The following is a 15,505-nucleotide window of genomic DNA, read 5'->3' on the forward strand; positions in this document are numbered from 1 at the left end:
TGGCTATGCAGGCTCTTTTTTGGTTTCATATGAAGTTTAAAGTAGTTTTTTCCAATTCTGTGGAGAAAGTCAGTCATAGCTTGATGGGGATAGCATGAATCTATAAATTACTTTGGGCAGTAAGGCCATTTTCATGATATTGATCCTTCCTATCCATGAGCATGGAATGTTTTTACATTTGTTTGTGTCCTCTCTTATTTCCTTGAGTAGTGGTTTGTAGTTCTCCTTGAAGAGATCCTTCACATCCCTTGTAAGTTGGATTCCTAGGTATTTTATTCTCTTAGTAGCAATTGTGAATAGGAGTTCACTCATGATTTGGCTCTCTGTTTGTCTGTTATTGGTGTATAGGAATGCTTGTGATTTTTGCACATTGATTTTGTATCCTGAGACTTTGCTGAAGTTGCTTATCAGCTTGAGGAGATTTTGGGCTGGGACGATCGGGTTTTCTAAATATACAATCATGTCATCTGCAAACAGAGACAATTTGACTTCCTCTTTTCCTATTTGAATACCTTGTATTGCTTTCTTTTGCCTGACTGCCCTGGCCAGGACTTTCAATACTATGTTGAATAGGAGTGGTGAGAGAGGGCATCCTTGTCTTGTGCCAGTTTTCAAAGGGAGTGCTTCCAGGTTTTGCCCATTCAGTATGATATTGGCTGTAGGTTTGTCCTAAATAGCTCTTTTTATTTTGAGATACCTTCCATCGATACCTAGTTTATTGAGAGTTTTTAGCATGAAGGGCTGTTAAATTTTGTCAAAGGCCTTTTCTGCATCTATTGAGATAATCATGTGGTTTTTGTCATTGATTCTGTTTATGTGATGGATTACGTTTATTGATTTGCATATGTTGAACCAGCCTTGCATCCCAGGGAGGAAGCCAATTTGATCATGGCGAATAAGATTTTGATGTGCTTCTGAATTCGGTTTGCCAGTATTTTATTGAGATTTTTGCATCGATGTTCATCAGGGATATTGGCCTAAAATTCTCTTTTTTTGTTGTGTCTCTGCTAGGCTTTGGTATCAGGATGTTGCTGACCTCATAAAATGAGTTAGGCAGGATTCCCTCTTTTTCTATTGATCGGAATAGTCTCAGAAGGAATGCTACCAGCTCTTCTTTGTACCTCTTGTAGAATTCGGCTGTGAATCCTTCTGGTCCTGGACATTTTTGGTTGGTAGGCTATTAATTATTGCCTCAATTTCAGAACCTGTTATTGGTCTATTCAGAGATTCAACGTCTTCCTGGTTTAGTCTTGGGAGGCATAAATACCCATTCCTTAAGTGTGGGTTGCTTATAGTAACTTCCTTCTTAAGAGTACAGTATGGGGTTGGGGGTGAAAAAGAGTACTGCTGCCACAGATCAAGGCCATTATCAACAGTGATAAATCATATTGACAGTATATATTCTTGATTAGAGTCATAAAAATGACCCTTTATTTTTATGGTCCTCCTCCCCAAAACTCATAACCCTAGTCTAATCATGAGAAAAACATCAGACAAGTTCTGATAGGGGACATCCAACAAATACTTGACCAGTACTCCTAAAAATTGTCAAGGTTATTAAAAACAAAGAAGGTCTATCTGAGAACCTGTCATAGCCAAGAGAAGTCTAAGGAAACATGACAAGTAAATGTAGTGTGATAGTCTAGATAAGATACAGGAACAAAAAACAATATTAGACAAAAAACTACATAAATCTAAATAAACTACTGTGGACCTTAGTTATTAATAATGTATAAATATGAGTTCACTAACTATAATAAATGTACCACACAGTTGTAAGATGATAATTATAGGAGAAATTGAGTGAAGGAATACATGGGATCTCTCTGTACTATGGCCTAATTTTTTTCTAAAACTATTATAAAAAAAAAAGTCTGTTAGAAAAGATAGTCATAGGGCCAGCCCAGATTTGAGGGCAGGTTGTGAATAGTAGGAGGCATGGTTCTCTGGGGGACGATCTACAATAGTACCCATTTTACTGATTTTCTTCTGAGAATCTACCTTTCTACCCCTCCTCCCAGTTGATATGGCTGGAGCCTCACCCTTTAGTTCCAGAGGTAGAGCCAGTGACTCCTCTCTCTCACCGCAATGGGGGATTTGCCTCTCCTTTGCCACACGATAGTTTCAGAGGTGAGCAGGGACTTAAGACAGGGAAATCAAAGTAATTTTCGGTCTGCTGGAAAAGTCCTTCTGGCCTTGAACTTGAGTATACAAGAGGTGGGAGCTGCTTCCTCTTATTTTACCATCAGGAGGGAGGAACTTGGAGGTGCCAGGGCCCACTAAATAGAGTCTGAGAAAGAAGCCAACAAAATCAGGTAACTGGGTGGGATACAGCCAAAAGTTAGAAAAAAGCTGTGGGACATTATAGAGCCCAGAATCCAGCCCTGTTTGGAAGAGCTCTACCTCTAGAGATTTCCTAGTTATGCAAGCCAATAGTCTTTTTGAGGGTCTTAAGTCAGTTTGATTTGACATTTTTTTCTTGGTCTCTTGCAATGGAAAAAGTTCCCAAATGATAGAACAAAACAATGTATTGTCCTCCAGTTTATTTCTGTGTTAAAGATGATCAGAATATCAATTGATTTTCAGATTGCTACCCTATTTATTCCCATATAATTCACTGTTTATCTAAGAATAAACTTGCAAGGAGTAAATTGGTTGATAAGAGCTCTTAAATGGTTACATAGCAAATGGAAAGTACTCAGTAAGTGTTCGATATGATTAATTATTATTTCAGCTTACTTTAAAAAGTTAAATCTTTTTAGTGGAGCCTCCCATTTAGCCTTAAATATGCCAATGATTATCATAGTAAAAAGTTGGAGTAGCTGTATGACAAAGTGGCTAAGAGTATGAGTTCTGTAATCTAATAGGTGTGGATTAAAATTCCAGCTCTGCTTCTCACTTGCGAATCCTAGAGTAAGTTACTTAATCTCTCTGAGCCTCAGTTTCATATTCTTAAAAAATAAAATAAAAATACCTCCCAGAAGTATAATTAAATAATGCTTGCAGAGGTTCAAGCTCAGTGCCTAATGCAGAATAGGTATTTCATCACATGTAATTATATTATTTTATACTGTGTGAAGATGAAATACTGAAATATTAGTCTAGAAAAGACTGGTCAAATAAACCAGAAGCCCATGGAAGTGACAATGCTGAGTATATTGTATCAATGTATGTATTGCCTACCCCAAAATTAAAATGAAAAAAAGTCTTAAAATTTATAAAATTTGTTTATTATAGAAGATATGACTAATAGTATATCTGAAAATTTTGGCTTACCATACTTTTTCTAAAATACAAGATTAAAAACACTAACTCAAAATGTATCATGATATCCTTTACTTGGCAGATCATGTGTTCAAAATCAACTATGTTCTTCTGAAATTGTGAATAAAAAGATTGCAGAATGCCGACCAGTAAGTTGAATAAGACGTCCATTTGTTCGATGGTCTCAGTGTCATAAAATTAACCTCATAGTCAATAAGGGACATCAAATTGAAATTATTTAAAACAAAATAGAGGGACTGAAAAATGGTCTGTTTAATACAAAATGCCTTTTAACAAACAAGTTAATGCAAGTGGTTTCGTTATTATAATGGGACCCTTTTGGTTGCAAATAAGAAAATCCAACTAAAACTATTTTCTTATCTAACAAATCTTGAGGTAGGGTGGTTCCTGGCTTAGTGGTATCATGAGGAACTCAAAGTTTCTTCATCTTTTATCTAACTGCCTCCCTGGTCACAAGTTGGCTGCAGTAATTCCTGTTATCATAGTCTCCCATTAACATCTAGAGGTAAGAAAAGAGGATCTCTTTCTTGTGTTTCTGTAGAAGAATGAAGAAACCTTTTTCAGAAGCAACTTCCCCACTGTCCCATTCTGTATAGACTTCCCTTCAAGTTTCACTGGCCAGAACAGGGTCATAAAGGAAATAAAAGTATCCTGATTGGTTTAGATGACTGAAGAGTCACCTTTAGGGGCTGAGGCTGGAACACTTGACTATGTGGCTGAAATGCAGGTAATTCTGTCAGAATGGGAGAAGAGAAGAATCAATGCAGGGAAGGCAAACAAAAGCCCTGCTTCACTGACAAGCACCTTTCAAAAAAATTCAGAAAAAGAATTCAATGATGAAAGCATACTATCAAATGCCATGCAATAGTTGGAAGGAATAAATGTATAGCAACATATATAGATCTTAGAAACACAATATTCAGTGAAAACAGTGGGAAATAACAAAACCTAATACAATATTTATGTTGCTTAGAAAAACACATATATTGGTACTTTCCCATGCTGCTGTTAGGAGTGAAAACTGGTGCAAGCACTTGGGAAAATCGTTCAGCAGTGCTATGGTTTGAATGTTTGTGTCCCATTCTCTTCCTTAATTCATGTGTTGAAACCTAACCCCCAAGGTGATGGTATTAGAAGGTTGTGACTTTGGAAGGTGATTAGGTCATAAGAGTGAAGCCCTCATGAATGGAATTAATGTTCTTATAAGAGGGACCCCGGAACTTTAAAAGGTTAAAACTTGCCCCTTCCACCATATAAAGACACAGCTAGAAGATCTATAAAAAACAGTCCTTCATCAGATACCAAATCTGCCAGTGTCTTGATTTTGGACTTTCTAGCCTCCAGTACTATGAGAAATAAATTTCTGTTTATAAACTATCCATGTAATGGTGTTTTTGTTATAGAAGCCTGAACAGACTAAGATAAGCAGGATCTAGTAAGGTTCAACAAAAGTATGCCCTACTTTGCTGCAATTCATCTTCTAAGTATATATACATGCTTACCTATGTGTCCCAAAGACATGGATGAGAATATTCATAGTAGCACCATTCATAATAGTTCCAAACTGGGAACTACTTACCCAAGTGTCTATCAACTACAAAATGGATAAATAAATGGTGACATAGTCACACACTGGAATACTGTACTGGAATACAGTATTTGCTGGAATACTATACAGCAATGAGAATGAATGAATGACTGTTGTGTGCTACACAGATGAAAGAAGTCAGTTACTAAAGAGTATATAATATATAATTCTATTTACAAAAATTTCAAAACTAGGCAAAATTGATCTATAATCATAGAAGTCAAGAGAGTGGTTACCTTTGGGAAGTGAGCTGTAGTAACTGGGACAGGCCTTCTAGAGGTCTAATAATGTTTTTATTTCTTAATATGGCTGGTGGTTTCATGGGTTTGTTTTTTGTGAAAATTCATAGAGCTGGCCGGGCGCAGTGGCTCATGCCTGTAATCCCAGCACTTTGGGAGGCTGAGGCGGATGGATCACCTGAGGTCAGGAGTTTGAGGCCAGCCTGGCCAACATGGTGAAACCCTGTCTCTACTAAAAAGACAAAAATTTGCTGGGCATGGCGGCAGGCGCCTGTAATACCAGCTACTCAGGAGGCTGAGTCAGGAGAATCGCTTGAACCCAGGAGGCGGAGGTCGCAGTGAGCTGAGATGGCGCCATTGCACTCCAGCCTGGGTGACAAGAGTGAAACTCTGTCTCAAGAAAAAAAAAAAAAAGAAAAGAAAAAGAAAATTCATAGAGCTGTACAATTTTGACTTAGTGCAGTTTTCTGTATGCATGTTATACTTAATAAACTTTTTTTTCTTTGAAAAAACCATGCACTTGCAAAATAGCATTCACTTAATAAATATTCAGTGCTATTGCTAGGTACTGTCCAGTCACTGGTGATACAAAGTAAACTTTGTTCTTGACTTCATGGAGCTTATTTCTAATAATAAAATAAATGTAATAATAATGACAATAGATAATACTTAAATTTTGTGGATTGTGTGCCAGGTAAAATTGCAACCCTATGAGGCAGATACTATTATCATCCCTATTTTAGAGTTGAGAATTACCTGCTGAAGGTCACATAGTAAATAGCAGAGTGAAAATTCAAGCCTAGTAGGTCTAACTTTAGGGTTTTTAGGATTTAACCATGATGTCCTATTGCCTCTTATTTTAGTAAGAGGAGATAGACAAAAAAAATATAGGTACAAAAAAGTTTCTCTGGTGAGGCAATAACTGCAACTGTGAAAAATAAATCACAGTATGGAGACAGAAAGTGACAAGGGGGTATGTTACTTTTTAAAATAAGACAGGGAAGTTTCCTCCCCGATTTTTAACATAAAGAGACATTTAAACAAATACATGGAGTGGGCCATGTGGATAACTGAGCAATGCATATTTCAGGCAGAAAAAAACAGAGCAAGTACAAAGTCCCTGAGGTACGTTTAGTAAGTTCAGGAAGTGGCTAGGAGGCCAGCGTGGCTGGAGTAGAATGAGATAGGGGAGAAGGGGAGGAGATGAAGTAAGAGGGTTATCTAGTGCCAGATCATGGACAGCGTTGCAGGCCGTTGTATTTTATAAGGATATACACACATCCAATAATATATATAATAAACATATTAGAGTGAGTAGGGAGAAGAATGGGTGACAGGATCTTGAATAAAAGAAAGAAATAGAACAAGGGAGAGATCTAGCACCAACCTATTAGGCTGGAGTGCCATGAATTGAGTATTACTAACTCAACTCTGCACCTAAGTTGTGGGATAGGGGTGAGTACAATTCTGACTTAGTCTTTAATTAAAGTGCACTCCACATTCCATCTTCACTCCACCATAAGTTATCCAAAAATGTAACATAATTACATCAAATCTTCACTCCATGGAGGAAAGACATGCCCTAAGTGTGTTAAGACTTCCCCATTTCTGATAATTCATTCCCATATGGGCAGCAGTGTCTACAATGGATGGCACTGGCTCTGGCCTGCAATGTGGCAAGAAACTTCTTTACTTATTCACAAAATATTTTACAAAAGAGTAATAAGACATGGTGTATTAGTTCATTTTCACAGTGCTGATAAAGACATACCTGAGACTGAGAAGAAAAAGAGGTTTAATTGGACTTACAGTTCCACATGGCTGGGGAGGCCTCAGAATCATGGTGGGAGGTGAAAGGCACTTCTTACGTGGCAGCAGCAAGAGAAAAATGAGGAAGAAGCAAAAGTGGAAACCCCTGATAAAACCATCAGATCTCGTGAAACTTATTCATTATCACGAGAATAGCACAGGAAAGACCAGCCCCCATGATTCAATTACCTCCCCCTGGGTCCCTCCCACAACATGTGGGAATTCTGGGAGATATAATTCAAGTTGAGATTTGGGTAGGGACACAGCCAAACCATATCACATCATTCCTAAAGAACCACATTAGCATAAGACTTTTAAAAAATATATAGCCTAATAGTTTTACTTTTACCTGGGAATGTCAGACATATCGACAAACTGCATGTGTTGATGCTTAAAACATAGCAAGTTCTTCAAAACAAATATCTTGCAAGCTCACAGATAAGCCTCAAGAATCATCATTTCTTATTCATATTTAAAAATTAAATAGGTTTTCATCCGTGGCAGGGGTACGTCTATATACTTCATTGGTAGTAAGAGAGATTTTGCTTTAGGTTAGAAAAGTTTTTATTTTTTCGGGTGAATTATGGCAAATTCTACTGCCCTCTGTTCTTTATTTTTGAAGTGTTTGTTTTTAAACAAAGTTTCTATAAGAACTCAAATGAAATAATATTTAAAAACATTGTATCCTGGAAGCCCAATAGTTGTACTTCAGACTCTAACAAAGACTTTCAAAGAAAAAAGAAGAGTAGAAAAAGAATTGTCTTCTGTAATTTGCCTCTCATATGAGTTTCTAGGTTTCAGGGCTACATTAAAATAGAATTGTAAAATAGGTGGGCACTTTGAATACCAATTTATAATGCATTCATTCATCTATTAACTGTTTGTTGAGTGTCTACCGAATGTCAAACACTGTGCTAAGTACCTGGGATATATTGATGAGGGAAAACAGACACAGTCTCTGTCTTCATAGTGCTGCAAGCTAATAGGGCAGGGTAGTGGACATCAGTAAAATAATCACATAAGCATGTGTAAAACTGCAAGTGTGACAAGCACTGTGGAGAAGAGGCGCATGATGCAATGAGGGAAGCCTGCTCTGGAGACATGATGATTAAAGTCTGATTTGAAGGAAGAAGGTAGTAAAGAACTTGCTTAAGGAGGAAAGGGAGAAGGCATGAAAAAGAGGGAACAACATGTGCAAAGCCAAGTGATTATAGGGAATATAGAACTGAAGGGAGGTCAAGGTGGCTGGAATTCTCAGTTAGAGAAAGCAGGAGTGTAGATGAAGGTCATACTCTTTCACTTGTTTCATCAATATTTGTTGAGCACCTATTATGCACTTAATATTGTTCTAAGTGCTTGGAATATTTAAGTGCTCAGTTTGTTATAAAAGTGAAGACACTGAAGAGTTTTAACCAGGCCAGGATGGGGGTGGAGTGGTGATAGGATCATATGATCATATTTGTGTTTTGCAAATATAACTAGCTCCAATATGGAGAATGGCTGAGAAAAGGCCAGAGTAAATTCTCTGGATGAGTTAGAGGCTACTACAGTAATTCAGCTAAGAGACAATGATAGCTTTGATGAGAAGAGTGATGCCAGAGATGACCAGAGTAGGTGGCTTCAAGAGATAATTTCAGATGCAAAATAGGACATTATGATAGACTGAGGGGGCAGAAAGGGAAATGTTAAGGATTCGTTTTCATTTTCTAACTTGCACAGCTGAATAGATTTACATAAAATAATGGCAATAATAATAATAATCAACATTACCAGTAGCTTCCACCTAATTTTGGGGTGGTGAGGGGCTGTGGGTAGGAATTACTGAGATGTAGTCTTCAGTCAGAGTAGACTGAACTCACCATAAATGACCTAAAATGATTGCCTCAAATCTCTTCCTGATTTTTTTTTTCTTAGACAGAGTGGACATGTCCCAAATATGTCAGAACTTCCCCATTTCTGATACTCCAGGTGAACAGCGAAGGCTTTCATGCATGGCTTTGGCCATGCAATATTGCCAAGAGTCTTTTTTCCCCTTTAGACAAAGCTCCTTCTGAAAAGAGCAATAAGACGTAGTTCCCAAAGAGTAAATTAGGTATCCAATGGAAGGGGTGAAGCAATGGCTGGAGAAGAATATACACCACACTCTCAGCCAGGAGCCATGTAGGATCAAAGTCTGCAGCATGGAGATACAGCGTGTGGGGCTGGAGCCAGGGTGAGTGAGAGGGCGTGGCTAAGAAAGGCTGAGGAAACACGCTGAGCTGACATCCCCGGAGACCCTTTGTGCTTTGCTCAGGTTTGACTTTACCCTTAAAGGCAACAGGGAGACTTTGAAAAGGTTAGGAAAATATCAGGAGCAAGATTAGATTGGCATTTTAGAAAGACGACTTTATAATAATTTTTATGCTGTTCTTACTTTATGTACCTTTTCTGTATATGTGTTATTTTCACAATAAACATGATTTTAAAAAAAGAAGAGCTGATTTTGTCTGCAGTGTAGATGGGTTTAGACTCAAAATGTGAGACAAGATGCAGTTATTTTCCTTTTTGGGTCTCATTTATTTATTTGTAAAAATATGGGCAATAACACCTCCTGGCATTATGTATGTTATATTCCCAGCATATAGTACTCAAGTAAATATAGTTCTTATTAATTTTAATGATGAAAGGAGTCTGAATTAAGGCAAATGCAATGGGAATGGAGAAAGGGAAATAGATGGCAGTGATGTTAAAGAGGTAGATTGTACAAGCGTCAGGGGCTGATTGAATGCCTCAGGGAGGCAGGGTGAGGGAGTTGCCTTACTTCTCAGGGATCCCACTTGGGTGACTAGGCAGATGGTGATGTAATTTACTTAGAAAGAGAAAACAGGAAAAGTCCAGGGTTACTGGTGGAAGCTTGGGAATGAGAGGAATTATGAGCTCAGTGTAGAACTTGTTATACTTGGGATGCACATGGAGATGCCTGGAGACAGTTGGCTCTGTGAGTCTGTAGCTCAGGGGAAGTTAAGCTCCAGGATGGATATTGGGGAGTTGGTATTTTCTAAGGAAAATGTGCTCAGAGTAATGAACAGAACTGAGATTAGAAGCATAGAGAGCATTTTAAGAGAGAAACAACAGAACAGGAGGCAAAAAAAAAAAAAAAAAAAAAAAAAAAAGAAAAAGAAAAAAAGGAGAAGAAGGAGATGAGGAAAAAATGGTCCTATATATTAAAAGTAGAAGGAATTATAAGACAAGAGAGGAGAAAATTGTTAAGAGGAAATGAGTAGTTAATATTGTCAGCTGCCACAAAGAGGTCAGCTAAGGTTTGCACTGGGAAAAAAAGAAGCAGTAGATTTAGTAACGATGGGGAGGGAGAATATCAGAGTTTTGCCAGAAACCCTTGAGTCTGGAGTGGTACGGCTGGAGTCCAGATTGCAGTCTGTGGAGGAGTGGACAGGAGGTAAGAAGTGGACATGAGGTTGAATTGCCCTCTGTTCTTTCAGGGAGCTTGGCTGTGAGGGGAAAAGAGAGACATAGGAATGGTGAAGTTTTGTTTGTTGATTTTAAGAAGTGAACCACTTGGATGTGCAGGGAAGTAGCCAAGCTAGAGACAGAAAGAATTCTGAAGTATAGGGTGGGAGGGGGTGGAATTTGCTAGCACAGGTGAAGGAATTAGCCAGAAACCAGAAAAGGGGGGGTCAATTCCTCTGTGATGAGAAGAAAGCTGGCACTGATCAGTGTGGATAAAAACAGATAAAAGTGTGGGTTGAGATGGGCGTGTGTGGTAAGATGTTGAGGAAGTTCATGCTGATCATCTCAATAGTCTGTGAAGAGGTCTCTGAGGAGAATGGTGCTGGCCATAGGGCAAAAGCATTAGGAAGAGTAGACGTGGTTTTATTAAGCTATTTGGGGGAGCAGCTGCTCAGAAGTGAGCTTAGACAGGAGTTGAATGCTCCAATCCCTGCTGGGGTGGAAGGTGGCCAGTGGCTGGGTTTCCTGCAGTAGTGCTCCCTCTTGCAGCTGTGGGATTGAGGAAGGGGATAGCAGATGGGAGCCAGTAGGAAGACAAGGGAGACCGATGGGCGAGTACTGGAGTGTGCGGAGGAGCGGGCTCGGAAATGTGGGTCCAGGGGCACTCCTGAACCCCCAGAATTTAGCAACTTTTAAAAACCTAATTAAAAATAAATGATTTATATAATTTGAGGTCTTTGGACAATGGGAACACAGAATAAATTTTAAAATACTGGTGAGACAAAGGCAGTATTTACACAGGTATTACAAACACTTTGGGCCCTTGGGCCCTATTCTAAATTAACTTAAAAAAAATCATTGCAAGACAATGTATAGTTATCCTGTTTTTCCTCTTTTCCTAAATTTCCCTAAAGTGTTTGTATCTGCTTGGTAAGGGGAAATAAAGTGGGTTATAAGTGCTATTGATGCTTGATTTTTCATTCAGGCGTGTGTGTGTGTGTGACACACAGAGAGAGAGAGAGAAAATCAAGAAGTCTCTCTGCATTTTGTGACATTAGACGTCAAGTATGACTTTTAAACAACAATATATGTGGGAGTTGATGTTGGTGTAGATCTATAGCTAAAATTCTCTTGGAGGGTGATTTTTCTTTCTGGTAGGAATAAAGTATTGAAGTCAAACTGTTCAGGAATTTGTCTTTCAAATAAAAATATCTTTAAAATTCTGGCAGGAAGTAGGCAAGTTAAGCAGCTAGCCTGGGGCTGGGGGTAACTGCCAGGATAGTTCTGGAAGGAGCCAGTTATGTCAATAAATATTTGCTGCCAGGTGCTGCCTTTTAAAGGAGCATTTGCCCCTTGTAAAGTTCTCCCCTAGGGCACTTTGAACTGGCCTGGATTGGCAGAGGAGGGGGAGAGAAATTAAGCCTTTTAGGGGAGACCGTCAATGACTCCTGTGAGTGATGAGGTTAGTGTGATGGCAGCCAGATTTCCTGCCAGAAATCGACCACCCCTGTGTTATAAAAATGTCAGGAAGAGTTTCATAATGCCACCGTTCTTAGTAGTCCCAAACCGGAAACAAAATGCCAATTCCAGGAGAATGGTTAAATATATTATAGTTAATTAATTCTGTCATGAACAAGGAAGTACAGATACATACAACAACCAGATTAATCCTTGTCACAAAAGGATTGAGTAAAAATCTAAAATCCCAGAAAACCATTTATAATAGTACAATACCATTTTTTTAACATTCCAAAACAAGAGAAGGAACAATAAACACCAAATTTAGGATCGTGCTTACTCATGAGGGGGCGAGGGATAGAGAAGACAGCACAGGGGAGAGAATGTAAGTGATCCGAGTTATTGCTGATATCATTGTTTGAGTTAGTACGTTCATGGGTGTTTATGTATTATTTAAAATAAAATATTAAATAAAGAGGGTCATACACTGATTGATGGAGTTAGTGCATTAGAAAGCAAAGAAGTATGCATTTCAAACAGCATGACATTGTGGGCACTAAATGTGACCATCACGTGGGCCCCTTTGGCAAGCCCAGCTCTTCTCACTTGGTGGGCTAGATCGGTCAGACTCTTCCTACAGGGTTTCTCTTCTAGTGTTGAAGATGGACTACAAACAACTGAAGAGTTCAGAAAGTGATGAGTACAAGACACAACCATACAACCAAACCAATCAGGACAATATCTTCATGAGTAAATATGTAGGTATATCTCTGGTTAGGTGCCCAGGAATAGATTAATTGGATGAAAGAATATGTACATTTAGATTTTTTTATAGATGCTGCCAAATTACTCTCCAAAAAGGTTGTACTAATTTGTAAAACCTTGTTTCCCTACATCTCTGCCAACACTGGTGATTATCAGTCTTTTGTCTTCGCCAACTGGCAAAAAATGGTATCTCATTGTTGCTTCAAATGATCAAATTTTAGATGAGCTTTTGGTGTGGAAATCATTAGTGAGTAGAGACTCTTGGGGCACATATTTCTGTTCCATTATTGATGGAAGAATAGCTGTAGTTGTACATGCCTAAATACTTTGGGAACAAGTGTGACATGTGATTAGGTCTATTTATTACTCTCTGATCCATTTGGTCAGGAAGTAGCTCTTGCTTAAAACACGTGGGAGAATGGGAGAGGAGGAGAGGAATATTTCTCTGGTGCTTTTGTGTGCCCTGTAGACAGTGGATTAGGTGCTTTTACATATCCTTTCATTGAGTTTATTCTTTAGAGCAGCCCTCTGAAGTGGTATGGCGACCCAGAGACTTGAAGATCTTGCTCTAGTCCTGCAGTTGGAAGGTGATTCAGCTAGCATTCTGATTCCCAAAGCCCATGCTCTCATTTCAAATGTTTATTTTTTCCCTTAAGCCTAACAGAAGACAGCACCAACTTTAAGGATCTGGTCTTTTAATGGGTCTATTCCAGTGGTTCTCAATATTGGCTATACATTGGAAACTCCCGAGGAGCCTGAAAAACTACTAATGCCCGTGTCCTACTCCCAGAGATTCTGATGTAATTGGTCTGAGGTACAGCCTGGACATAAGGATTTTGAAAAGCTCCCAGGGGATTCTAATGTTCAGCCAAGGTTGAGAGCCATTGGTTTAATTCAATGACCTCTAGACTTCTTTTTAGATTTGCATTACCTATAATTTGATTTTGTGACACTCTTTTGGCACCTTATCTCCTAAAAGTTTTGTGAGTTTTTTCCTTGGTTTATTTTGAGACTTTTGGAAAATTTCCATGATAGACTTTGGAATAATTACAGATATCCTGGTGCAAGATGAATAGAAAGACTGCATTACTAAATTCAGGCTGGGAATTGCTGAGCTAATTATTTATCAGATCTTTATTTTGCAATTTAAAAAATCGGTAAACCAACTGCAGCATGACATAAGCAATCTTCTTGTAGGAGAGTATTAGCAAAATATCAGTATCACTTATGACTTTTCACAGATACATTTCATCTGTTACTAAACATTAAATAGGGCAGGTCAGAGAGCTCAAAAAAGAAAATATATCAGCTGTAGTAAATAACATTTTATTCAAATATTACTCAGTTTTTCTGGGAATCATTTACCTACTGTCTTATAAAAGTAAAATACTTTCTGGTTTTTGACCACATACATATGATGAGCTTAGTTGGTAAAAATATTTCTCCCACCTATGGCATCAGGATGCCTCCCCCAACTCCACTACAGCTTTAGAAAAACTAAATAGTTATTTTGGCAGCTCAAAGGGGATCATAGTGCCTCTTACCTATGCAGTTGTTGTGGTTTATTCTTAATATGTGTTGACGTTTGATATTATATTTCTTGGTGGTGTGGGCAGCAGTTATAAGAGAGCTGTGTGGTGATTCTAATAGAGACCTTGTTTTTTCCATTCCAAAGCACTTATTATTGTTGTTTTATTATTGCTGTTACTATTTTAACTTGTAGTTTTTTTCCAAACCAGTTTAATATAGCTCTGATTATGAGGGCCTATTCTATTTCTGTGTGTCTTGGGAGCTTTTTATTTTAAAAAAATATTTATTTATTATAAAGACAGGTTTTTCTCTGTTGCCCAGACTGGAGTGCAGTGGCTAGTCACAGGCACGATCACAGCACACTGTAGCTTTGAACTCCTGGACTTAAGCAATCCTCTAGCCTCAGCCTCAGCTTGTAGTTGGGACTACAGGAGCAAACCACCATGCCTGGCTTGTCCTGGGAGTTTTTCCCTTCTCCTTCCAGTTTTATTTTCTGTAAGTCTTATTCATCACGGCATAGTCCAGAGATCAGCTTTGCAAAAACCACGCACTGGGAAGGGACAAGAAAAGCCACATTTGGTAGGTTTTGCTTTTAATTCTGTGTCAGTGATTTCCTGTGGAAATTTGGTTTATTCTGTGTCATAATTTCCTTATCTATAAAAATGGAGATAATAGTTCCTGATTCCCCAGTTAAAATGAGGAACATACAATATTGCCGTATGTGAAAACACTTTGAAATATATAAAGTGTGGTTTAGTTCAATACTATTTATTTTGAGTGAGTGCATTTTCCTTCTAATATCTACAAAGTTGGTGGAAGAAACCTGAACCGTCTTGGAGCTGCACTGTGGTGTGTGAAGAGCATGTGAAACTGGAGGTAGAAGGCCTGGTGTGAATCAGGGCAAATCATCTCATCCCAGCTTTAGTTTTCATCTTTAAAATGAGGATGATAGAAAGAAACCATCTCAGTGGGTGGATGGATTAAATACATATTTCATGAATATGAAAGTACTTCATAAACAGCAAAGTACCTCACAAACATTAGCTATTCTTCATTCAAATTTGAGTGCATGCTCCCCATCCTTGAAGCCATGCAGATTTATTCTTCAAGGCAGGTGTCTTTCTCCTTAGCCTCTAAACCCAGAATCTTGGTGTTAATGGCCAGAATCCTCCCTTTCTTCCATTTTACTTCTCCTTTACCAGGTCCTCCCACCTGGACATCGCCACCTCAGACCTTTCCCTCTTTCCCCTTCTTTACTCTCACCGCTCCCCCAAATCATATTGACATTTTCCTTCTCTGGGTTTTATTGTCTAAATTATGTAATTACAATTCTATTAACACAAATTAAGATGACATTATCTTTTTAGCAGCTGATTAACAGCTG

General features: G+C 38.4%; 1 protein-coding gene and 2 long non-coding RNA genes across 15 annotated transcripts in view; 2 read left to right on the forward strand and 1 right to left on the reverse strand.

The window, feature by feature from the left end:
- Window positions 1–15,505, forward strand: part of CAST (calpastatin) — an 813,255-nt gene that overhangs the window by 78,416 nt on the left and 719,334 nt on the right. For 5 of the 13 annotated variants that reach the window (NR_186780.1, NM_001423258.1, NM_001423252.1 and 2 more), the window contains exon 1: window positions 10,279–10,357. The exons of the other annotated variants lie outside the window; for them this stretch is intronic. The gene's annotated coding sequence lies outside the window, so the exon portion shown is untranslated. Of the gene's footprint in view, window positions 1–10,278; window positions 10,358–15,505 lie in introns of those variants that run through there. 13 annotated transcript variants of the gene reach the window in all.
- LOC101929710 (uncharacterized) overlaps window positions 1–15,505 on the forward strand; it is a 669,085-nt gene that overhangs the window by 77,844 nt on the left and 575,736 nt on the right. The gene's annotated exons all lie outside the window — the stretch shown is intronic.
- LOC105379096 (uncharacterized) overlaps window positions 1–15,505 on the reverse strand; it is an 86,202-nt gene that overhangs the window by 53,579 nt on the left and 17,118 nt on the right. The window lies entirely within an intron of this gene.

The sequence above is a fragment of the Homo sapiens genome, chromosome 5, assembly GCF_000001405.40.
Source record: "Homo sapiens chromosome 5, GRCh38.p14 Primary Assembly".
NCBI classification, from domain to species: domain Eukaryota; kingdom Metazoa; phylum Chordata; class Mammalia; order Primates; family Hominidae; genus Homo; species Homo sapiens.